Source organism: Homo sapiens, chromosome 20 (assembly GCF_000001405.40).
Source record: "Homo sapiens chromosome 20, GRCh38.p14 Primary Assembly".
In the NCBI taxonomy this organism is placed as follows: Eukaryota; Metazoa; Chordata; class Mammalia; order Primates; family Hominidae; genus Homo; species Homo sapiens.
Genome location: NC_000020.11, coordinates 17220826 through 17247615, shown reverse-complemented (window position 1 = coordinate 17247615; position 26790 = coordinate 17220826). Strand labels below are relative to the sequence as shown.

Here is a 26790-nt window from a genome sequence, read left to right as displayed (position 1 = left end):
AACAGTTAAGGCTTCCCGGATCAGACTCTTCACTTTTCCTTTGGCTGCTTTCTTTGTGTTTGTCCACTGTGCTGGTTTTCATGGTCCTCAGTCAGGCTTAGTCGGGATCTAGTTTGGTAGAACACTGGACATCATTTGCTATATAGGATTTTTATAATTTTATTTGTAAGAGGGACTGCTGTCAAGAGGTTTAAGAAACAAAAACTGGCAGACGAAACAATCACCAAGGATTGAAAACTGGCTCAGTTGATAATTGCTTGTCCATTTCATTTGGGGACCTGAATTTTACCAACAGGGATAAGCTCTGCATTTTATTGACTTTCTCAGAGACCGTTCTTTATTTCCTTCAATTGCATGCAATCTCTTATAGGCAGAACATGATGCCCAGGAGTAGGGATGGGAGAGAAAGGGAAGCTCATTTGAATTTAGGTCTGGGGTAGGCTGCTGGAGGATGAGAGACCATGTGGAGAAGAACTGATGTGTTCTTTTTCCCCATTCATTTTTCACTCTTCCTAACATTTCTTTCTCCTTCCAAGTCAAGTAGGAAATGGGTTTTGCACATTACTGATATCTGCCCAGAGATGATTACTGGTTTCCCTGGATTGTGTGCAAGGTAAAATGATCTCAGTGATAATTCTAAAGGTACCTAATAGACAGGCCTGAGTTTCAACTTCAGAGCAAAGGGAGAGAGAAGAACAACTTCCAGAGTGATTTTATTTCTTAATTATCAACAACATAAGAGTGACTATGTCTAATCTAAAACACAAATTAAGTATCTATTTCCATCACTAAAGAGAAACCACTTTTTTTTTTTCAAGCAGAATTATTTATCATCAGTGAAACAACAGCTGCTCTCCCAGGCAAGGATGGGATAGTCTGATTGACAGCCTAGGACCACTAGGGGACAGACCACACTCTTCAGGTCCACTTTGGACCACGTCCCCCATGGAATGCGTTGGACCCAACTAACTTCCATAGCAGAGAGTAGAGGCACCATTCATTCAGGCATTTTCTGGAGGATATCCTGCATTTACTATTCCACTGTTAAACCAGGAACATGGAACCTCTCTTGGTTCATACTTTTACATTCTCCTTTTTACGTTTGTGACTTACATTCTCCTTTTTAATTTTGTGACTTACTATCGAAGACTGATTGTGAGTAATTACTGTAATTTCTCTGATCATCTGCCTTGTCGTGTTCTCATTGTCAACCTCCAACTGAATATCCCCAGTCAATTCTAATAGAGCCGCTCCAACCCACAGCCAAGTGGATTGTACACACTTTATAGTAAGGAAATAGTTCTTGCTTATAGGAAGAGCCATCCACTAGGCTGGTTTCGAATACAGTAGTAGGGAGCAGAAGAATCTTAAATGAAAAAGAAAATTGAGGTACTGACATGTTGCCTAAATATTCATCTTTCAAAATTATCTTGGTATGCTGGAAAGAATTATCTCTCAGAACACAGTCCTCGGAATGCCTGGATTGCAAGCTCTATGGGGACAACACCGGTTTTGCTCATGTCCTAGGTGCAGAGTATCATGTCATAGATACCTGCTGAGTAAATTAAAAAGATCAGGAGGTTCTAGATTCTAGCAAGAGTTATTAAGTAGTTGTGCTATTCAGTGTGGATGACTAAGGTTATGGAGTTCTTTGGGCATTGGTAAGACATTTAATATATTGGGGGTCAAGCAGGCTGTCTAACTAAGCGAATCAGGTAAAAGACAATAGAAAGTGGTGAGGATTGTGGTAAACTGGAGGGTACGTGCTCCTCCACAAGTCAAACAGATTGAAAGCATTGTGCTGGCCAAACTCAATTTGTGATCCAATGAGTGATGCACATTGCACTTGTTAGCTCTGAGCTGTCTAGGACTCTGCTAAGCACAAGACAGAAGGCACATCATAAGAGATATGGAATGAAAAGAAACTCATGAGATTGAACACGAGGTAAAAATACTCTCAGATATTCTAGCAAAAAAAAAAATCCTATCAATTACAGATGAGGCTAGCATTCTCTGTTACTTTGGTCTGTAGTCAGGTCCAAGCTCTTTGGAGCAGCTATAGAAAACAAGAGAAGAAGTTAACTACTCCCAAACATCAGCTTTGGGTTCAGAGTTATTTCTAAATAAAGGAGAAAAGGGGGTGAAAAGTAGATGTCTAAGCTAGAAAATTACATGCTAGTATCTTCACAAGCAAGATATCCCTTTAAAAAGCTAGAATAACCCACAAGAATGCTGCATTTGGCAAGGTCGTATAAAGTGTAATTTGTTAGTGAAACCTTATTGGTACCCTATTAAATTCCACACAGATAACAAGGCTAGAGGAAAGGAACTTGTGTTTGATATCTGTCTGCTTGAAAAAGTAATTTCCATTTTTTTAAAGCAGGTGCACTTCATAGAATCTCAGCATATTTCCACTGGAGATGACCTCCACGTGTATCTAGCACTATGTCTCACTTTGCAGAGACTCTGAGGGTGAGAATGTAATCATCTGAGCTCTTCTTCGGGAGGAAACTGTCTCTATTTGGGATAATTCTGTGATGGTTGGTGGGTACCTGAGGTCATGGGTGCCTAGAGAGCAAGGAGATCTGACCTGCTCTGCCTGGGAAGAATCTGCCCACACCCATGAGAGGAGGAGATACTAAAGAAACCAAGGGGCAGATAAAAGAAGGTGGCGAGGATCTGGCAAGAAATGTGAGGCTGGGCAGGAAGAGGCCACCGCCCGTGCCCAGTGATGAGGGGATGAAATGACTCCTCAAAGCAAGTGCTTACTTAAAGTTCTTTGTGTTTGCAACATAAATCCCCTCCTGGCACCTGTGACATCTTCAGGAAAATACATTCTAGTCACAGATGCCTTGGGTGAATGGTAAGAGTTTTTTGGTGAAGGGAAATCAAGGGAGTTGGCTGAATTTTACACTTGAGTAACCATTGTGAAGAATGATTGTTTGGGTAGGAAGGAGACATAATTTATTAACTGGAAAGTTTTGGTAGAAGTAGAAAACTGTATCCAGAAGTAAAACGAAAATCTAGCTCCACTCCTAGAATTTAAAGGAATATTGGGAAGGGTTAAGACTTCTACAGGGTACATTATGGGGATTTGAGTGGATCTTATCTACATCTCAAGGGTCCAGGTATTTCTAGTTGACATCTGGATTACATAGATGAGAAAAATGAGGTTCAAAAAGTTGAATTATGTGGATGTGGTCACACTGCTCTATAGTGGCAGAGCTGGGACAGAAACCCATTGTTGGTGACAAAGTTTAACCCAGCTCTATTTCATAGAGGGAGAGACCTCAATGTTAGTTTTGCATCAATGTACACATTTTTTCTTTTAGCAGTAATTTTTTTACTTTTGAAATAATTTCAGACTTATGGAAAAGTTGCAAGAATAGTGAAAATAACTCATATAGCCATGTCACCCAGAGTCCCCAATTGTTAACATTTTACTGCATTTAAAAAATTATTTTCCTACATATACGTATTACTTTGGTGAATCATTTGAGAATAAGTTGTAGATGGTGTGTGTGTGTTTTCTAAGAACAAGGCAGTATAAGTATCAACATCAGAAAGTTAACTCTAATGTGATATCATTTTCTAATTTACAGACATCACTGATATGTTGCCAACTGTCTTAATAGCATCCTTTATGGAAAAAAAAATAAAAAATCTGGCCCAAAGTTCAATCCAAGATCACATGTTGCATGTGGTTGTCATTTCTTTTTTTAATTTGGAAGAGTTTCTTAGTCTATCTGTCTTTCTTTTATGACGTTAATACTTTTGAAGAGTACAGGCCAGTTATTTTGCAGACTGTCTCTCAATTGGGATCATCTGCTTTCTCATCATTAGATTGAAGTGATGTATCATGGCAGGGGCATTACACACGTTGTGGTGTGTGCTTCTTGATGCGCTGTTCACAGTCTTAAATGCAGCTACCTCCACTTCACAGTAACTGCTCTGGTCTCACCTACGTAATAGTGACTTACAAACTGAGCACAAGACATAATTGTGGGTACATTCAGTGCTATTTGCTCACATGTTTCTGAGCATCCAAGTGTGAGAATGCCAAATAACTAAAAAAACACAACTTACTTCGGTGGACTCCTATTGCTATAATTATCCAAACAAGGCCAGGTATGGTGGCCTGTAATTCCAGCACTTTGGGAGGCTGAGACAGGAGGATCATTTGAGCCCAGGAGTTTGAGACCAGCCTGGGCAACATTGCCAGGCCTTGTCTTTAGAAAAAATAAAAACCTAGTCAGATTAGGTGGTGTGTGCCTGTAGTCTTAGCTACTTGGGAGGCTGAGGTGAGAGGATCACTAGAGCCCAGGAGTTGGAGGCTGCTGTGAACTATGATCATACCACTGTACTCCAGCCTGGGTGACAGAGTAAGGCCTTGTCTCTAATACAATAAAAAATTACCCAAACAAGAAGCAACTCATTGGAAATGAAATATAGAGTACATGACTTTTATTTATTTATTTTTATTATTCCTTTTTAAAAATTTTTCAGGACGGGCATGGCTGGGCCATAGAGAAAAAAATGAGAATGAGGAGCTGGACATTTTGAGTAAACCCAATGACTCATAAGCTATAAAGGGCTATAATAATCAAAACTACTGAACAAGAAGCCATTCCATTCCCAGAGGTAGAGTGGCATATGGATGCACAGAAAATCATATGCTGTCCCATAAAACCCACCAATGAGAAACAGTGCAAGACAATTTCACACAGAAGGCAAACAAGCCACATTATTTAGATGAATAAAGTAAATATGATTTCACTAGAGAGGTGGACAGCTTGACAGCTCCTTAAACAGATGCTTTTCATGCAGTGGAGGAGCCTAAATTATTTATGTGTGACTTCAGCTCCTCTCTCAATAGCACAAGGCCTGTGGAGTGAGGACATCATGTCTTTGAGTAACCAGATGTGACAAAAGATCTCATTCAGCCTCAACTTATTAGGATGTGTCACCAGGTTAGCATGGTCTGAGAAGGTCCTTTGCATTTAGAACGAGAGACCAATTGCTAAAACAGTTTGTCACACCCCAACACATAAAGTAGACATTTGCAATAGCAAAATAGAGACCTCAGATTGTATGAATTCTTATAAACTAGACTATAGAACTATAGAACTATAAGTGTGCTTGTCCTTGGGCATAAACTTGAACCTGTTATCTTTCTGTCTGTAGAATCAACCCCTTTCAATGTGCCTCATCTTCATAGGGCTCAACACACACTTGTTAATAAAATAAGAACTCATGTATGAATGTTCTTCTGTAATTAGCTGATTTGTAAGAGGCTGTGTGGAAGGGAAACTAGGGGAGAGAGGGGTAAGTCACTGACTTAGCACTCAGTACACTTGGCTGTAAGCCAGCCCTGCCTACTCCTATGCCATTCCTAAGCATTTGTTCTCCACGGATAATGCTCAATTCTCTTCTGTAATTCCAGGATCCACTCTTCCCCATAAGCAGGAAAACAGTATGAAGCAGCTTGTGTTGTCCATGGTTATCCATTATTCTAGGGCTGAGCTCACTGTCCATAGTGGGATTCAAACTATGATGTACCCCCTAAGAACTGAACAACTGTTTTATATCAAGTCTAGAATGACACCCAGATAATGAGACAGGTAGTGGTTATCTGACATACAGCCTCACTCACAAACTTTCTTTCTAGCCTCAGGCAACATTTCCATATATCATTCCAGAAAGAAAAAATTAAAAATGAGCATTATTTCTTTGGAATATCAGGGAGTAATGTGCCTATTAGGTGAGCTAGGATCATGGTGATACACCACTGTTCTTTCTTTTCTTCTTGGCTTCTAAGTTACGGGATTTGTTCTGCATTCATATATTTATATGTCAGGGGAGGTGCATTTAATTGTTTTGTTCTTAGCTGGACTAATCTTCATGGATAGAACTGGCTGCTCTACCAGCCGTTCAGTGTGACTACAAGGACAATAATTAATCAAGCCATTAGTATCACTGATGCCATCATCCAGTGACAATGGAATCAAAGACATATAACCTGACTTCCTAGTGGCATCATCTATTAAATGATGTGCTACTTGTTGCCAGAATTAGTGATTCCACAGGACAAAGAAACCAGGCAGAGATCAAGGCTTCTCCAAGTCACTATTAGCTCAACTTCTTATCCTAGGATGTCCTGTATGTGGCCATCCTGCCACACTTCCCAAGTACCCTTCGATGCCTCCTTCCACCTACCTGCAAAATCCAAATTCCTCAGCATAGTATGGGTGACTGGTCATGAACTGACCCCAGGTCACTTCTTTGGCCTCATCTCCCAGTCTCTTGTCATCTAGACAGACAAAACTACTTGCAATCCTCCGAAAAACCGTGCCCATTTCATTGCACATCCTGTGGTTTTCTTTATAAACCTCTTCCTTTAAACCTCTTGAAATTATAAGCCTCATTGTAAATTTACCTCAATGTATTATTGCCTGCTTTGTGAAGACTTTCCTTCTGCTGACAGTCACGGCCTCACATGCACTATATATTAAATCTATCACAAAAACTTTCTGGACTTGTTTACATGGAGCACTCCCATTTGTCTGTAATCAGCGCGAACTGATCCTAGAAAGACATTCGTTTAACCCTTCATTTTATACGTGAGGGAAAGCAGATCAAACACTATGTTTATGTGCCTAACAACTATTGCAAAAAGCATTTGAGCCTTGTTGCTTACTGGCTGTGGTTTAGACAATGCATTGTTGATACAATTGAACCAGCTTTCCAGACTGAATGAGACAGACAACTAGATTGTGTGACACTCCTATGAGGGATTAGCCACAAACACCAACTATTTTAGGGCTGGGCTAACAGTCCACAATGGGATTCAAACTATGATGTACCCCCTAAAGACTGAACCACTGATTTATATCAAGTCTAGAGTGACACCTAGGTAATGAGACACGTAGAGGGGATCTGACATACAGCCTCACTCACAAACTGTTTCTTTCTAGCCTCTGACGAACCTCAATTTTATGTAACTTTAGGTCCTCTGTGTAGCACATGATATTGATGCACTGCCTGCCTTCCCTTGGTCCACCCTGGAGGTCACCTGTACAGAGTACATACAGATGCCAATGTCTTTCAGGCACCGCTCTCCTGAGGGTGTTCTCTGGCAGTGGAAGCATGCTTGGTCTACTTACAGCAGGCAGAAGTATGAGAGATTTGAAGTTCCCCAGGAGCAACCATCAACCAAGAAGAAATGGTAGCTGGAGGTTAAACATCCCAGCCTCCTCACCCTTTGATGGGACAACACAGATAAGTTGTAACTGTCAGAGGGGCCTGTAGTAGGAAATTGGATCCATGTTTTGTTCATATCTCCCTGTATCCATTCCCTTGGTTAGTCTCCTCCCACACTGACTCTAAACTTGGCCATGTGACTTGCTTTGGCCAATGAAACTTAGTAAATGCAACACAAGCAGAGACTTAAAAAGTGTTTTCATGGGCCAGGTGCAGTGGCTTATGCCTGTAATCCCAGCACTTTGAGAGACCAAGGCAGGTGGATCACGAGGTCAGGAGATCGAGACCATCCTGGCCAACATGGTAAAACCCCGTCTCTACTAAAAATACAAAATTTAGCTGGGTATGGTGGTGTGCGCCTGTACTCCCAGCTACTTGGGAGGCTGAGGCAGGAGAATCACTTGAACCCGGGAGGCGGAGGTTGCAGTGAGCTGAGATCGCGCCATTGCACTCCAGCCTGGCAACAGAGTGAGACTTCATCTCACAAAAAAAAAAAAAAAAAAAAAAAAAAAAAGTGTTTTCACCTTGGGGTTTGATTTTTCATCTATCTATTGGAATCATCTTAGGCCAGTAAGATTGAATCCCAGTTGCTTACTTGTTCCCAAATCCATGTCTTAGTGTGTTGCATTATGTTTGTTTACTGAACTTACTCAGTATATGTTTGTTGAATGACCTTAATAATCTTCTCCTTCTATACGTCCCTGTGGTATGACTGTAGCTCTTGCTAATTTCTTGGTCCATTGGCTTGAAACTCCCATAACTCTTCTTTGGTCCTCTCCTCATTTTCTAGTTTATGGCCAGAATGGTTTGTTTCTGGCTTCGGCTGCTGGGTCCAAATTTGGGTTAATGACAAACCTCATTTAAGACACAACTCTCCAAGGATCCCTGTCCCTTCTCCTCTGCCTAAAGTGCTGCTACTGAACTTCAAGAGATCACAAATGGCTTGTTTCCCATCCTTCTTCCCACATTTTAGGTTCTTCAAGGTCTCTCTTGGTCTCCCATTCTTGGCTGACAGTTCCTAGAAACATAGTCAGCTGGAACTGACTAGAATTGACTCTTGGATGTCAACTACCTTCTTGGGTTTGAGCTTCCATCATCACTGAAGAGAATTGGTGGTGCCCTGATAAAAGTGATATTTTTTCTTCCCACAGAAATAGAGGAGAAGCTAAAGGCAAAGAGGAATAGGATTTGTGGGTCACCTTATTCTCCTCTGTCACTGGATTCTTAATGATTAAGTCACAAAATTTTAGGCTATTAAGGGCAATTAAGGAAATCCACTTAACACAGGCACTAAATAGGATGTTCCTATAACCCTTCCTAGCATACTTGGTTTTCCTGATTGCACCATCTCATGAGACATCGGCTGGGTGTGCAGTGAAAATCTAATGATGATGCTAAGCCTTTAAATTTTTTTCTCAGTATTTATTTTGGTATTTATTGAGTGCTTACTAAATATATAGCACTGTTTAGTCACTAAGGGAGTAGTCAAGGAAGTATAAATTCCTATTCTGTCTTTTACCAAGTGTAAACCCAATGGTTGTTGGTGTGGAATCCTTGAGTCTATGAATAGCTTTGTTTGGAAAATCAGAATTTATAAAAATTCTACGGGTAAAATGGTAAAAAAACAAACCAAAAAAGCACATCAGGAGGACCTGAAATGAATTAGTATGGTCAGACCAAGTTGGTGTATGTGGCTAATCACTTATAGGAGTCTCACCCAATCTAGTTGTCTATCTCATCCAGTCTGGAAAGCTGGTTCAGTGATATCAATAATGCATTGTCTAAACCACCGCCAATGAGCAACAAGGCTCAAATGCTTTTTGGAATAGTTAAGCATACAAACATAGTGTTCGATGCCCTTTCCCTCATTTATTTCCTTCATTTATTAAATGAAGGGTTAAATTAATGTCTTTCTAGGATCCCTTCCTGTTCTGAAAGGCTGTAATTTCATAATTATAATTATCATTTGTAAAAATGTAAATGACTGGAAAAACCAGTTAGAGTAATGCAGACTTGATTGGCTAGGTATGTCACAATATTCTGGTGGGATAGCAATCTCCAGTGGTCTGACAAGTGCTAAGAAATTATTAATTCATAAATACCTTTAAAACCACATCAAGTGACTGTAACACTATTTTTCTATTTTAACCACTATACCTCTTGAAGGGATGGTCTATATTTGGTACCTCCACTTCATCACACTTGATGCTTTCCTTCATGATTGGGCTTTTTTCCTGTAGCAGACATGTTTACTTTCACACTCAGATCCTCTTGGATAGGCCTTACCATTTTGTGGGTGCCAGCCTCTGCATCTGTTTGCAAGTATTTTTCTGGATGGCCAAATTCTGCTCTGTCTGAGCATATGCCAGGACAAAATGCTGGAGTGTTAACATCAGCCTGGAGTAACTCTCAATCATTAATTAATATGTCAATGCAATGCGTGTATAAATACCCCAACTTCCTCACCCCTCAGGCAGGATAACTCTGAAGCACATATTCTACACCAGCTCCCAGTTTTCCAGTGGGATTGAGTTCCAGTTACCCACAGTGACAACTTGCTTTATGATGTACCCTTTATTCCTGCCTTCCTTTCCTTATCTCAATTCCCCACTCCTCTACCAGTATTTTGTAGAATCACTCTTTAAGTAAACTACTTGCATTTAAGTCCTTATTCCAGGGCCTACATCTGGGGACCCAAATTAACACTCGTCTCCTCTTCCACTGTGCTAGGGTGACTCCTCCTATTTCAACAATGACTTTGTCTCTAAAACCAGTGGCTGAGGTTGCTTCCTTCTTTCCTTCTTAACTCTCTCCTCCTTTCCTTTCACAGGCCTGTGTGCTCTTGATTCTTTTTCCATATCTCTAACCGTCCAAGTTCTGACTCCTCTCCTGGTTCCTCTTTCTCCTTTCATGTCCAAAGTTCTCCAACATTTTGTCCTAGGACTTCGCTTTGTTTTCTCTCAACAGTCTTCCTTGACAATCCTATTTCTTGCCATAGCATGAATGAGGTGTATGTGAACAAATCCTTGTGCATGTTACTTTTAGTGTCTTGATCACCTTCATCTCCTTTTTACTTTGATAATTCACTTCCATGAACTTCATCATTATCTGGAAGTGCTCAATTTTTGGAGCCTTGAGCTTCAATATCCCACTCACCAACCATAGCTCTCTCCCTTTCATCTCTCTCACTGTTATTTCCAATTTACCTATTCTTCTATTTCATTGACACTCTATTATTTGGAAGATTCCATTTCTCTCACCTCTCAACCCTAATCTGAATGTTGCTTAAGACATTCTTAAGATGTCTGCTGGTGCCACCATAAATCCATTCTTTCCCACTTGCCTCTGCAGTACTGCCCAGAAATCATGATCTGTCCTTTGTCCACTCCCTCTCTCATGTCTACTAGCAGTGTCTGAACTTCCATCTCCTTGAAGCCCCCATCCTAACACCTCTTCCTTCCCTCTGAACATTGACCTTGCCTCTTAATCCTCTGAAATAATTGTGATTCCTAAGTGGATATTATCACCACATTCTCCTCTGTGACCTAAAAACAGGACTTCCCCTGCCAATTTTTTCCCCTTTAATCTGAAACTGAGACAGCTCCTTTTTCATGCTTAGGCTAATTTCTTCATGTTTCAGTAAAACCTAGCTACTCAAAAGATGAATAAAAATGAATTTGTAATTGAAGTTCTGATAAAAGGACTTGTGGTAACATTAGAATTTTAAGAAAGAACTAATATAAGCAATACTATAAATTATGGTTATTAGTAGAAGGTTAATATTTATATGTAACACAATGCAAAAATAATGATATACCTAACAAACATTGGAATGTGGAAGTAGGGAAGCTGAGAGAAAGTGTCAGGATGCTAATTTCCCCATTTTACAAAGCACTGAGTCCATAACTCACAAAAGTTGAATTATGTAATTAAATAAGTAAACATGTAATTAAATATATGTAACCTATCTACCATGTATGTATAAAATATGTAACTACAAACTCCTAAATATGAGACACAATAATTTCTTATGAATTTTAGGGAGGTATATTAGGAAATAATATCTCCTTTGTATAGCATATTTATCTGAAGTTTAACAATTTCCATAGTTTTCTTTTGATTTTCTCTTCTGTTAAATTTTATAATAATTAAACTGAATGATTTAAAACTTAAAATAGCACATATGATGAGATCTCAGCTCTATAAAACAATTTATATATCTCTCTTCTCTCTATACATATTCATACAGAAGTATCTGCAATAGAGTTTATCTAAAGCTGGTAATGGTTATTTCTGAATAATGAGATTTGAGATAATTAAAAAAGACCTTCTTGTATTTTTTTATTACTTGGTATTTTTTAAAATAATGATGAGTGATTCTGACAAAAATATCAAAGTTATTACATTTTTCATATTATCAGGGTTCCTAACTTATCTCGTGATTTAATTTGATTATGTCCACTCACGGTATTCATGAATATTGCAATGTGTAAAAATACTGTCTTGACATTGAGATGTTTACCATCTCACAAATGGAAGGATTCACTTTTTTGTTTGTGTGTGTCATTGTTTAAATCTTAAGAGGAAAGATATTCAATTGTCTACTACATCTAATACCAACATCAATCAAGTAATTCATTCAACAAATATTTCCTGTAGACTTAGTTTTGCCAGACACTGTGTTTACACAGAAAGCAAGGCTGACCATCTCTTTGCCCTCTACTTAAAACTTTAGAAGAGTGAAACCCAAATATTCCAGGTCAAAACTTTTTTCTCTAATGACTTACAACACTTTGCAAATGTTTTAAACCTAAGTTATTATCTTTATGTTCTTGATGCTTCCAATAGTGATTCTGTATATTGTTCACTTTTCTTTGGACTCTTTTGCCTTTGATACAAAATGAGCATGAAATGAATCTATTTAGGAAAAACTAGGAGAACAATTGGATATTTATGGAAGTTAATGTCAAATTTAAAGTTGTAAACAAAGAGCAACCCCAGGATCCTACAGTTTTCTCCCCATTCTTGTCAATTTTCTAATGGAGAAACTGCCAATACGCTGTAACAGTCTGAAGTCTACTTTATGTCAGGAAATTAAGAGTGTGTCATTGTTCTACTTTCAATGTAAGAACTTGTTTTATTCAATTATTTTTATCGACAATCTCAGCACATCACAACAATTTCCAAAAAGTTGTGGTCAAATTAGCTTCAGTGACAAAAAATTGTCAAGGCAGTTAAATTATTTTCATATGTGTCTCGCATATAAACCATCCATTAATACACAACTATACATTTCAGACTGAAGTGTTGACTCAGATGTAATTTCTTGACTTCTTAATCACTTGTGGACTTTAGCTAAATAAATACACCTTAATAAGGAAAGTCAAATAGAAATGTCAGTTTTTGAGCTGTCCCGTGATTATTTGTATCTCAAATAATAATTCACAAATTCAGCACAGAGTTTCTTTTTGAAACGTTGGATCTGAACTCAATGAAAAATTGAACTTCAGATTTCATGTTTTATTCTTAAAGCCAGACCTCTTTGAGCAGTTAGTTTGAGTGGAATATATAATTATTGTGAACCTAACTATAGCATCACTATCTGATGTGCTATGACGTTATGATCTATAGCTAATAAGACCTTCTGAAATAGAAATTGATTTCTAGATATTCATTCAATTGAGAAAAAAAGGTGTATTTCCCCTCTTTCCCTTCTTTTGGATTTTGATCAGGTTGTAACTGCAGACTTTACTTTCTTTGTTCAAAGAGCTCATCTGTTCTACTACTGATAATATCGAAGTTGGGGAATTTTAGAGAAACAAAGAAGCATGCCAGTTGCCCACTTGCTGGTTGTCACTTAATTCTATTTCCTAGCTGAATGGCTGCCTATAGAGAAATGGATTCTACAGGAACAGTTTCTTAAAAAATAGTTTTTCCAGCACCTTCAACCTGAGATTATGGACAAATCACCACCTTGTGGTCCAACTGTAGTCATAGTCAAGGAGCACATATTAAACACCTATTATGAGTAGGGCACGTTGGTTGCCAGCAGGAAGAACAGTGTGTAGAATGGGTTCTATTTGTTGCTGGAGAAGACAAATCACAAATATTTGAAAAGTTGTTTGGTAGTATATTGTGAAAATATGTGTGCTCTCACAGAACTTTGGAACAATTTTTGTTGTGATCTGGCTCGGTTTGCCTTCGAGGTTTAGAGATTCACTCTAGCAACTTAAGCAAAGGGATATTTACTGACAGCATATTAGTTTGGGCAGTACTCCCAAATCTCAGTGTCTTAATGTAATAGCAGTTTATTTCTCACTCATATAAGGTCTTCTAATTCACGGACCAGGGACCTGGGCTCCTTTCATCTTGTGATGCTGCTTTGGCATTTGGTGTCAAAATGTACTGTTCTCAATTACATCAAGCCCCAGAGGAGAGCAGAACACAGAGAAACAATCGATAGAGAATTCTTATGCATCAGGCATGGAAGAAGTACACATGACTTCTGCTTGCATTACACAGGCTAGAATTGTCACATGATCACGCTTATTTACAAGGCAGGCTGGGAAATGTGGTCTTGCTGCAGCCCATGAAGAAGGAGCAATGAATCTGGTGCTTAGCTCTTCAGCCTGTTACAGGCGTCTTTTGCTGGAAACTGGGGTTGGAAAGCTATTAGAAACTTAGATAAAATGTCTGAGTTTCCCATGGCCTGAATGGGCTTTCTCATGGTAACTGTACTGCATTCTCCTCTCTAGAGCAACTAGCCAGTCAGATTTCCTGAGGAATCCAGTATAATTGGCTGAGATAATTACCATGGTCTATAATGAATTAAATTTACTGAATTTGGGCCAGGTCATCTCATGGGTCATGACTAGCCCATGGGTGGATTGCTGCTGGGCTGGGTTCCTATTCCTTACTCAATCAGTTGTCACTCCCTCACAAGTATAACCCACAGCTACTTTTTTGAGGAAAAGAGTGTCACTAGTGCACAACCAGCTTATTGTTACTACTGCAGTAATAGCTATTTTATCCTATGCACTCAGTGCTGTGCCCAGAACTTTACATGCACTAACTACATTATTTATTTTTCACAGCCACCATATTTTATTAACCATTTTCAGAAGACAATGAGCCTCTGAGAGATTTAGTAACCTAGCCAAGTTTCCAGTGCTATCTGATTCCAAATCCTGTCATCTTTACCTTTCAACATTATTGTTCCTCATTTTCTTCAGCCACAAGAGGTGTATTGGGGACAGTGAGCGTTCTGATGGCTATGACTGGTATCAGGGAAAGGAATCGATTATACATCATCAAAGCACCAAATGGATAGAGAACACTGTGGTCTAGGTCAACCAGACAGGTCTTGAGGGATTAGCTTGGATTCGATCTAAGGCACAACATGAATGGCAGCCATGTCTAGGGAAGCAAGGTTACAGGTTGCTATTTTCCCTTAGCTACTGTGGAAAATCTTTTAGTTCCAGAAGAACTGTCCCTTAAAGTCTTCTTAGATTGAAATCTTTCAGGGAATGCTTATGATCAAATCTATATGCTGTTTTTATTTTTTTCCTCCAAATATTGTCAATTTTGATCTAAAGAACTTTGGGATAGGGGATGTGGAAATACTGCAAGATAATTCTTCCTTTGACTTACAATTGGCTGCCTGACAAAGTAGAAGTAAAAGCATATAATCTGGATTGAACATTGTTGTGACATTACGATATCATTAAATGGGTGGTATCAAATATTCAAAATACATATATCTGACCAAAAATTTCTATCCATCATAGGTAAAGAAATCCTACAAATAAAAAGTGAAGATGGACAACCCAAAAGAAAAACTTTTCAGGACAAAGCATCTGAAACAAATGTGTTTAAAAGAGGATATCCAAATCATCAATAAGCATATGAAGAGGTGTTTAACTTCAGTTGATAATCAGGGAAATTCAAATTAAAGTCACGATGAGACACTACTACATACCACCAGAATGGCTAAAAGAAAACAGATGTAAAATATCTAGTGTTGGTGAGAATGTGGAGCAGCTGGAACTCTCACATACTGCTGAAGGGAATGTAAATTGGTATAACTACTTAGGAAAGCCATGTGGCTGTTTGTCTGTAGCCGGCAGAATTCTGAGATGGCCCCCAAGATTTCTGCTCCCTGATGTACATGCCCTATGTAATCATCTTCCTTTTGAGTGTGGACAGCCTAGGTGGGACTGTGAAGATGATAGATTTCACTTCTGTGATTAGATTACGCAAAGGTGAAGAGATTTATCAAATGTTATTAAAGTCCTAAATCAGTTGACTCTGAGTTCATCAGAAGAACCAAAAGGAAAACAATCCTGGTGGGCTTGAACGAATCAGGTTAACCTTGCAAGGAGAGTGGGCTCTTCCTGAAGGCAGATATTTGAAGGGTGAGGTGTGAGAGGGCTATGGAGAGGTCTCCAGGGGATGAGAGTGGTCCTGGCCCAGCAGCCAGCAAGAAAATAAAGACTTCAGGTCTAAAACCACAAGAAACTCAATTCCTTTAAAGCCGTGAAAATGCTCAGAAGAGGGTTGTTTCTTGGTCATGCCTCTAGATGGGACCCAGCAGCCTATACCTTGATTTCAGCCTGTGAAGACTCGAGCAGAGGACCCAACTAAAATGTGCCAGACTCCTTACCCATGAAAACTGTGAAATAACAAACTTGTGTGGTTTTAGGCCACTAAGTTTTTTAGTGATACACAGCAATAGAAAACTGATGGTCTTATAAAGCTGTATGCATGCATATCCTTTTACTCAACAATTCCATTTCTAGGATTCCCTGTAGAAGGCCATATATGTGTTTGCCAAAATACGTAGACTTTAATATCCACAAAAGCTATATTTATAATAGCTAAAACCTGAAAACAAAGCAAGTGAGTGAGAAAAGGACTTAGGGATACTGGTAATATTTTATTTCTTGATTTGGGTGCTGGTTACACATGTGTGCTCAGTTTGTGAAAATTCCCTAAGCTGTGTTCTTTCCTAAATTATACTTTAATAAAAGTGAAGCGACCAGAAATTTATTAATTTTTTACTACCTGGCAGCATAATGATTATTAGGTTGTTTTCAAAATTAAAAAATTCTCACACATTATAAAAATGGTCACATGATTTTACTTGTGTAATCATTTCAGCATCTGTCCTCTGTGGATAAAACATAAAACACACCATAATACAATGAAACCCCTAGGATAATATCAGGTTCTTTTTAAACCCTAACTCTCACTTGATTTTTGGTTAATCTTCAACAGGTTGCTTCAATAAATAATTTTTGTTTTCTGTTTCAAATCAATTAAAATTAGTAGCATTTTGAGAATTTTAAGGCACTCTTTGGAATAATGCTTTTGTCATTACTGTAAACTCATTCACTCTCCTAGACTTAAGTATCTTTTCTGATAGACATAGGTCTTTGGGCCAGGGCCAGGTCATGATAAAATAGAAAGCTTTAATCTCCATAACCTTTTCAGAGGTAAAGTTATAGGTGCTTTTATTTCATTTTAGAGAGAAAACAAATGTTTGTTCATGGTCTTATAAGAATCAATCAAATAATTGACAAACAATTAAATATTCATATACAGGCCACCATGCTAGATATGGAGACTATATAAAGATATAGTATGTCATTTCTCCTCTTGGAAGATTTATAGTCTACCTGAAGACATAAATACACGTACCCATTAGCTAATGACATGTTCATGTGTTAATAGAAAATAAATGATAAATATAATAAAAGTAAAAAGAAAAGGGAAAATAGCAGAGCTCTAAAATTGTGTCTCAAGGGAAGAGTTCTTGGCAGTCAGGGAAGGCTTCCTGGAGGCAGCATGATGTAGAAAAGCAATTATTTTTCAGTTAAGCAAATTTGGTTTTAAGTCTGAGTTCTTTTACTTCTCAGATATAAGCAGATACTTAACTTCTCAAGGCCTTAAGGTTTTCATCTGAGAATTACAGCTGATGCCAGTAATTTCTCTCATAGATTTGTGAGCTTAGAATGAGATAATTTAATAAGAAAGCATGTTCTTCTAGCCTCCATTGCTGACCTTTCATATGGATGAATAAATAACCACTGAGAATCTTTTGTGTCTGACACTGAGCCTCGGAGCAGGGAGCAGTAGGGAGTTGGGAAGCATGCTAAGCATCAGAGCAAGGAAGGAGAAGGACATAAGGGCCTCTAAGATGCACAATAACAAATGTTGGCAAAAGTACAAAACAGTATGATGAAAGCAAGATAGGACGGTGTCTGGGAAACCTGGGATAATAAATACAGACAAGGAAGTTTCCTTCAAGGCTGGCAAAACAGTAATGTGCTGGTTACAGGGAGGAAATGAGAAATATAGGAGGTATCATCCCTGAATATTTACCTTTTAAGTAGAAATACAACAACTGAACCCATATTTACTTATATACCTGAAATAATGAGGAAAAGTGATGGCATTTATTAGCTTATGTAGTGCAGTGTTTGCCTATCAGTCGCATAAAAATTTGGAGGAGGGAAAGCTCACTGTGGTCTGTAGCATCAGGAAAGGTTTGAATTTAGGTCTTGAAGAATGGACAAGACATGGATCCAAAAGGAGGTTTATTCTAGGCAGATGTTGCACCAGGCAGTCCCTGTTACTTAAACGTGTAAAAGGGGAAAAAAAATCACTGGATTTGGTTGTGGGGTACTACCTGAGAGGTTATGGAGAAGTAAGGAGAGAGGTCTCTCAGATGGGAACTGCAGGTTTCAGGTTGTGATGCAAAATCAGTGTGCTCCTCTCCAAGAAAGAATGAAGGACAAAGAGGCCTAGTTATCTGATCTCTGATCCTAAGGGCACATTTTCAAAGGGGGCAGCAAAGAGAAGAGAAAACCACTGAGAACAATGGTTTTCAGAAACCTATGGCTCCCTCCCACTCCCCCGCACCCATGAAAAGGTGTGGGGGAGGGGGAGGGAGCCACAGGTTTCTGCAGCAAGATCACACTCAAGAATTAAAATCCCTTTTCAACTTATCTCAATGCCCCACATCCCCTGAAAGCACCTAGCTTGCTTGGGTGGGTACTAAGGAGTAAAGAGCATGGGTTCACTTCTGAAAGATCTGGATTGAAGCCCTTGCCTGTTTTTATCTCGCACCCTTTTCTGAACCAATTTCCTCAACGGGGCCATAGGCTCAATAATGATAGTAGCCTCCTCAGAGATGTTGAGAAGATTAAGTAAAAATCTATGTAAGGACTCCAGCACGTAAGCTTCCGTATAACTAATAATAATCACTATTATATTTTATAATGGCGTTTGGGTCCTGGGTCTTGCCAAGTTTGGGGTGGGGGGGAGTGAAGAAGGAAGGTCGGCTTCTTTATTGTGTTGGTGTCTCTCAAAACAGCCGGCAGGCCACGGGCCAAAACCACAGCGGGGTGCTCCCTCCGCCGGCGCCTTCTTTCCCCTGCTCCACCCACGCTTTCCAGAGCAACAAGTTCCTTTCCGCAAGACCCGCCCGCGCGCCACCGGCGGACCCAGAGCCTCTTCCCAGACCTCTGTCAAACTCGTCGCCAGACCCTTCTGGGGTCGAAATTCCGGTACTGCCTACGCCCTTAGGAGGAGGGAGAGGCCCCCACACCTGGAGGAGCCCTGGCGGTGGCTGGGAGAGAGGCGGGAGGCTTGGGAAGTCAGGACAGAAGAGACTAATAAGAGCTTCGGTCTGCGCGGCCCTTCAAGGCAAAACCAATAACCAAAAGCACCCACCGCTCATCTCACTCCTCTCTCTTCCTGGGATCAGGAGCGAGATGGAGCCTAAAATCTCAGGGACCTCCACCCAGCCCTCTGGTAGCCACATCTCTGTCCTTTGGGTTCCCCTCGCCCCACCTTCTCTCTGCACCCACACTCCACCCCAGCCTGCGCCAGGTCCCCTAAGGACACTGGAGAACCCTGATACATCTTTTGCAGGAGAGACACGCAGGTCAGCCACAGCCCCCACCCAGCGCCCTTCTCTCTGTCCTCCCAGGATGAGTACCCTGGAGTCTCCAAAGGAGATCCAAGGTGTCCAAAGCTGGGAGGCTCACCTATCTGCTCAAACTGTCGAACTCTGGCAACTTCTTGGAATGGGGATCCCCACGCTCTAGTGGGAAAGCCAGGCTGGCCGCCCACGCATCAGGAGAGGACACCTCGACTTCTCCGTAGGGAATCCCCCTCAAAATCCACCTCTCCAGCTCCTGTAGCCGGGAGTTGAGAACTAGGGAGCCAACCAGAAGTGCGCTCCAGGGGTGGGCGGTCGTGGGCGGGGGTGAGGGCGCAGAAGTTCCGCCCCGATTTTAGAGACCAGTTTCTTTCCAAATCTAGAGTCAGGAAGCCGTTGTTCCCGGAGAGGAGCAGGGACCGAAGTCCCTGGGAGGGAAGTCCTCCCGGCGCGGGGTGGGAGAAACACCGAGGTGAATTGCAGTGTCCAAACGTCCAGCCTCGTCTGTAGGAAACTATTCTTTCTCCGGGGGATGGGGGTGGGGGAGACTTCCCTGGCCAAGTAGCCAACGCCAGGCTTAGCTGTTCAGGGCTTCATCCCTCCATCCCCAGGCAGCCTCGAGAACTTGGTACCTCGGACAGCATCCCCGGAGCATGGCATCCTGTGAAAGGTGTTATCCTATTTTCGCCATCAAGTCAAAGAGCAGTAAATTATTTTGATGACCTTACTAGTACAGATGAAGGACATTTTAATTACATAACCGGTGAAAGATCACCGGAGGCAATATCGTGTTAAAGAGCCCATGGCAGAATATCTGCATCGCATGAGAAAGAGAGAAAACTTGCAAATCTGCAATGAGATTGCGCAGGGCTGCCCCCCCGTCCCCCCGTTTTGAAACAACATGCGAAATGCATGGGAGAGCTTACCTTTCGGACTCCAAAGCCGTGTTCTGCTGCAACTTGGCGAGCTTTGTCCTCTCCCCCTTTATGCAACTCCACAAGAAAATGATTCGTGAAGACCGGTCGCTCAGCAGATGCAAAAACCATGACACAGAAGAGGAACCCGGCGGCCGCCTTCCACTGGGAGACACAACCACCCTTCATCCTTCTTTGGGAGTGAAAAGTGGTGCTAGGAGGCGCGCAGGCTGGCGGAGCAGGGGACTCGGAGGGAGGGTGCAAATAAAGAATTCTTATATATAGTTTTTAAAAAAATCTTTGTATAGAGAAAGAGACTGAACAGGGTCTTGGAAAGCAGCGAATCAGTGTGTGTTCTCCAGCATCTGGCTGGAGGGGAAGCCGTGCAGTCAGGCGGCCCGGCGCGCGGGCAGGGGTGCGAATGTGGGGAGCTGTGTGTACCGGAGAGAAAGAGCGAGTGTAGGTCTGTGCTTGATGCTAAATCTGCATTTTCAGCTCCTCCTCAGCTCCAATTCCCTAGGGGCTGGGGGAGAGCACCAGCTCGGGTGACGTGAGTCCGCCAGCGGCCAATGAGGGCGGGGGAAGCGGCGGGCCCCGCCCTGGGCCGCCCCGGGCCCGCCCCCGCCCACCCCCGGCCCGGCCCGGCCCGGCCGCCTCCGCCTTCTGGGGGCGCAGCGCAGCGCAGCGCAGCGCAGCGAGCCCGCGCCCCCGCCCCTTTCAGCACCGGAGAGCTCCCCCATCTCAGCCTGGCCCGCCGCGCGCCCAGGAAAATCCCCCCAGCTGTAATCAGGCCAGCGGCGGCGGAGTGATGTCATTGTTTGTGGGAATCTGTAGGCTCTGGGAAGGGAATTACGGTGTGTGCCGCTCTCAGAGGCCCCGAGGGGAGCAGGGGCGCCGGCCTCTGTGCCTCTTCCTGCTTGTTTCCCGCTGCAAAAACACCTCTCTCTCTCTCTCTCTCTCTTTCTCTCTCTCTCAAACACACACACACACACCCAAGGCATACTTGCCTCCCCTTATCCGAATAACAAAGCAAATATTAACCCTCCTCCCACCACTTTGGGCAAATCCCCGGGGAGGTTTGCTCTCCTTGGCACCAGGAGGGTTGGGGAAAGCACCTTCTAGGGGTGATCCATGGGGGGCGAGAGTGCAAGGACGAGCCCTTGTTTTTTGTAGGCTCCAGGCAGGTCCGGAGCGAAGCGGCTGGGAAGCCCAGCAGGAGACCCGGCTCGCCCCACCCGCGATGGTGACTGGAGGAGGCTCCTCTAGGAGTCCTGGCTGCACCTCCAAGATCTGCCTTCAGGAGAGACGCGGCCGGGGTGGACACGGCGGGAGGTGCATTCTCAGACCTGGGGACGTTCCACTGCACAAGGACAGCGAGGGTGCTAGTTGGGGAACGCATAGCCACCGATCCCAGGCGCCGGGCCAAGTCGCCCGCTGAACGTCTTCTACTGGAGGCGAATTCGGGCGCAGCGACGGGGGGCAGGGGCAACTAAGTTATCCGGTTAAGAAACGTGCACTCGCACTGGACTCTGCTAACTGCTGACGACGGACTCCGCTTCTTGCCTGAGAGGGAGGAAGCACGAACGTTCTGTATGTAACGAAATGAGGACGACTGTTTCAAAGCTACTCAAATATTGTTGTGTTAAAGAGTATTTACACTGATCTCATTGTATCATTTAGCTTCAAAGCTCAAAATTCTGCTTTACTTAGATAAGAGGTAAGAGATCTTTTCTTAGGGGCTTAAGTGCATGCAATTCAGAGAGAGAGGAAGAGACTATTTATACCATCGACACGTTACACACACATTCTCATGTATACACATATTCCTCTCTTTTTATTTTAGCTTGAAGTCCAAATCTACACAAGTCAGAACCTATGCAAGAAAAGCACCATCGGTAGAAATGAATACACTTTGAATGCCATGGACCACCCTGTCTTCAGAGCATGTCTGTTTGCTGACATAGTTGGCTCCCTCATAGCCCTTTAAAAAATTGTCACGTAAAAATGTGGGCGTTGCTGAAGGTTTTTATTAAAACATTAGAAGTCTATGTGACATTATTTATTATTGTTATTTGAATTCCTCTAAGAAAATTAAGCTATCTGTTAGGACTTAGGGCCATGGTGGAGGCAAGGTTTCTGGAAAAGTATTAACACGGTGAAAGTATTAATAAAGGGAAACAGATCAACTCTGGGCCCCTCAGCTCACTACTGCTCAGAGGCTCATTTCTGCCTTTGTTCCCCCTTTCTATTACTCTATTGTTTAACAGCTTACCCCCTCATAGTCCATCCGTTTGATTATAACACAAGGTTTTCATGTTTCACCGTGTTAGTCAGTATGGTCTCTATCTCCTGACCTTGTGATCCACCCGCCTTGGCCTCCCAAAGTGCTGGGATTACAGGCGTGAGCCACTGCGCCTGGCCACTTCATTTCTTAAATAGTTTCCAAATATGAAATGCTGGTAAATGTTGAATCTCATATAGCTACATTTTAAATAACTAAAACTGTGTAAAATTGGCCAGAAATGATATAAAACCTGAATGACTAATTAAAATAAGTCCTCTTTAGTGGTTTACATAAAATACAGCTCATCATAATATTGTCAGGACAGAATAGCAAATGGAAAGATAATTTTTTTGGTTATTCAAATACTAAATTTTCAATACACAACAATGTAGTAAGCAAGTGGAAGAGGAAATGTATTTATCCCTTGGATATCTATTGATACATTGTTATTTGAAATGCTAATACACACCCATGTGTGCACACAAATTGCTCTTTTAGACAACTATTTCTCAAACTCCTTTTTCCAATAACAATAGTCAAGGTGGACAGTAGAGAGAATGGCAGCAGCACATTTTGAGGATAGACCTAGAAGCCTGTTGCCAGGGACCCTATTGCAGGCTCTGCTAGTACTAGGTATGTATACCACTTGGCTGTGGGCCAACATATTGCACCTCTCAAAGTCTCTATCTTTCTATCTGTGAAAAGAGACTGTTGGATTAGATACCTCAGAGCCAAAGTCTATAATTTCAAAAGAGTTGTGAAAACATACGCTGTAATGTAGGAAGCATCATCAATAGTTTGAGAAATGCTGAGGACCACAATACTATTTAATAACATATTGTGGCCAACAGGCATACTTATTTTTGTGTAACCTCCCCCAAATGGTCTCATATTTATCAGTTTTGTGTACTTGAAAAAATAATAACTGACACAAACAGATTGACAGCACGAGATATAAAAATCACCAATACCTGGAGCTTCTTTTCATTTATTTACTTTTGTATCTGTAACAATGACGTCGGGTGTTTGGTTCTGGCTCAGATGTGCCACAGGCCCCCAGAGTCTCTTTGAAGATGTTGTCCTGCAAAACAAGACTAGAACTCTCCCATTTTATGGCTTAATACTAGAAATCAAGAGACCTTGGGTGATTTTTTAAAAAACCAAAACCACCTGAGGCATGATTGGGATACTCACATTTAGATGTACTTCTAAAAGGAGAACTTTGGATTCATAGAGCATCATGCCAAGGAAAACCTACCACTGGGGGTACAGAGCAAGCCAGAAGCAGCCGTAGGAGAGTCCCCCAAACCTTTGAATATTCTTTGGACTACTGGAGAAAGATCTAATTTTTCTGTTGATTTCTCTTCAATTGTGTGGGATGTGTAATCTGGAGAGAAATAGGGTATATACCACTGAAAATCACAATTTAAAATACAGCCTTGTTAAAAATCAGGTTGGGCTTTGCCATTTTTGCTGCATTCATTGCAAACATTTTAAATGCAGTAATGGTACATTAATCAGGTAGGAACAATTCTCTACTGTCATATTGTACTGTTGTATTAGTTTGTTTTCACATTGCTGATAAAGACATACGTGAGACTGGGCAATTTACAACAGAAAGAGGTTTATTGGACTTACAGTTCCGCATGGTTAGGTAGGCTTCACAATCATGGCAGAAAGCAAGGAGCATCAAGTCAGGTCTTACATGGATGGCAGCAGGCAAAAAAAGAGAGCTTGTGCAGGAAAACTCCCCCTTATAATAACCATCAGATCTCATGAGACGTATTCATTATCACGAGAACAGTATGGGGAAACTGCCCTCATGATTCAATTACCTCCCACTTGGTCCCTCCTACAACATGTGGGAATTATGGGAGTACAATTCAAGATGAGATTTGGGTGGGGACACAGAGCCAAACCATATTGACTGTCAACCCTTTCAATGGATTATTCCTAAAGACCCTGCCCTGTCTGTTCCCTCCATTCCAGCCCATATGCAGGCTTTCTGAAATATCGTTACCACTTTACAGATCTTTGCCCAATTTTGAACTCAGCATTGATCAAGTCTTTTTTTTTCCACCAGACTATTCTTATTTTCCAAGAACTCACCTCATTTTCCTCTAGTATTTACATATACTCTCACATTTGCTATAACTAAAAATTCAGATACTTGGGAAATTTTAGTTTCTCAGTATGCACCCACTTCTAAATCACTGTGATTCAGTTGGTCCTACCTCCAATTCCTATAGCTTTCACCAACTTGTATCTTTTCCTTAAATAACCTATCTCTGTTTTTCCTTCAGTTGAAAATTCTCAGCTGATTTTTATTATTTAAGCCATCTTAAATTAATATAGTGAAGAGAATTTATATGGCTTCAAGTGTTTATTATTATCAAAGTATTGAATCTACAGTGCTTTGGGTTATATTCCTTTTGTAATTTCATCAAAGTCATCCAATTTACTCAGACCAATCATCTCTTCACAAACAAAAGCTACTTCTCACTTCCTTATTTTCCAGGACAGTGAAAATTTGCTTCTTTTGCTAATTTAGGTTCTATTATTTTGATAGGATTTGAAGCAGCTAAACAATGAGGACGAGCGGCCCTTTTAATCTTCTTTTGAAAATTAGGAACACATTGCTATTCACTATCTTTAGATTCCTTTTCAGGTCTACGGGACTACAGAATAATGTTTGCTCACTTAGAAAAGTAATTAGTTATTTCTCAGGGTTTATTGGAACATTGCTTATTGTCTGCGGAAAGTGATTATCTATTCATGAATTCTCTACCTTGTGTTATTTCTCTTTCCTTTTTCATGATCTTTTAAAAACCATAGTAAATCTTTCTCAATGTACTTTTTAAATAATTATGGAAATTATCTTCAACAAGGAGTTTTTTTGTGTTTCTCAAACTACTTATAACTCAGAAATAATTCAGAGAGAACAAAGTATATGCCTTGTTAGCAAATATAAACAGGAATTTTAAAAGATAAAAATTTTATGTGTAAAATAAAATTTAATACATTCAAACGTGTACACTAATTTTATAAGGTAAACTCTGCCCATTATAATGAAACATAAGATTCTAGGAAACTACTTACTTTGATCTGAATGCTTTGGATAATTATACACTATTTAGTATCAGTTTGAACGACCTACCCCGAGTAGATAAATTGATGTATAATGTTACTTAACATGCTAGAGGAACAGTTATAAATTTATGGCTGTGCTCTCAGATATTTTCCACTCTTTTGAAAATATTCTATACTTTCATAGATGTTTTGGCAAAACGTGGCATTGTCTATTTTTAGGGAATTTCACTATATGATATTTACTTTATTGTCTTATGATACTGGAGTGAACCAAAAAGTACACCCTTACAAACAGATATTTCTAGAATTAGTCACTCAATCCTAGTTTGTAGATTTATTTTCTCTTTTAAAATCCTACAATCCAGATGTTATAATTAATATAGGACCTAGTTAGATTATTTTAAAGTTCTAATAACACATTCACTATGCATTAATTTCTTTTTAATTTTTCAAAACAGCTTTGTTAAGGTATAGTTAACATATAGTAAACTGTGAAGTTTGACTAGTTTTGCAATTTAACTAGTTTTGATATATGTATGCACCTGTGAAATAATCCCTGCAGTCGGATAATGAATATATCCATTTTCTCCAAAAGATTGCTCATGCCATTTTCCTATGGCTCCCTCCCACACTTCTCCCACCCCTTCACACCACCCATCCTCAGTCTGCCACTGCTTTGCTTTATACCACTATAGATGAGGTTGCATATTTCCTGAATGTTATATAAAGGGAATAACATAATGTGTACTTGTTTTTGGTCTAGATTCTGTCACTCAGCACAGTTATTTTGAAATTTTCCATGGTGTAATGTGTAACAATATTTTATTCCTTTTTATTGTTGGTTAGTATTCATCGCATGACCGATAGCACTAACCGTTTGTCTGTCCACTAACCTGTTGATGGACATAAAACATACACATAGACCAATGGAACAGAATACAGAACCCAGAAATAAATTCATGCATTTATAGCCAAATCATTTTTTATGAAGGTGCCAAGAACACACGTTGGGGAAACGATAGTTTCTTCAATAAACGATGCTGGGAAAACTGGATATCCACATACAGAAGAATGAAACTAGTCTCCAATCTCTCAGCATCTAAAAAAATCAACTCTACATGTATTAAAGATGTAATTGTAAGACCTGAAACTACTAGAAGAAAATATAGGTGGAATGCATCTTGAAATTGGGCTAGACAAGAAGTTTTTAAATAAAAACTCAGAAGCACAGGCAACAAAAGCAAAAACAGACAAAAAAATTACATTGAACTAAAAAGCTTCTGCCCAGCAAAAGA

At 40.6% G+C, this 26790-nt stretch overlaps 1 protein-coding gene and 1 long non-coding RNA gene across 4 annotated transcripts in view; one reads left to right on the top strand and one right to left on the bottom strand.

Moving 5' to 3' along the window:
• LOC105372546 (uncharacterized) overlaps window positions 1-15139 on the top strand; it is a 94422-nt gene extending 79283 nt beyond the window's left edge. The window contains exon 5 of the long non-coding RNA XR_007067540.1: window positions 15048-15139. This is a non-coding gene — a long non-coding RNA (uncharacterized LOC105372546). The remainder of the gene's footprint in view (window positions 1-15047) is intronic.
• PCSK2 (proprotein convertase subtilisin/kexin type 2) overlaps window positions 1-21509 on the bottom strand; it is a 258472-nt gene extending 236963 nt beyond the window's left edge. For 2 of the 3 annotated variants that reach the window (NM_002594.5, NM_001201529.3), the window contains exon 1: window positions 20134-20576. In NM_002594.5, coding sequence (NP_002585.2) covers window positions 20134-20310 — 177 coding nt within the window. In that variant the 5' untranslated portion in view covers window positions 20311-20576. Of the gene's footprint in view, window positions 1-20133; window positions 20577-21236 lie in introns of those variants that run through there. The other variant, NM_001201528.2, reaches the window with a different exon arrangement.
• Between the last annotated feature and the right edge of the window lie 5281 nt (window positions 21510-26790).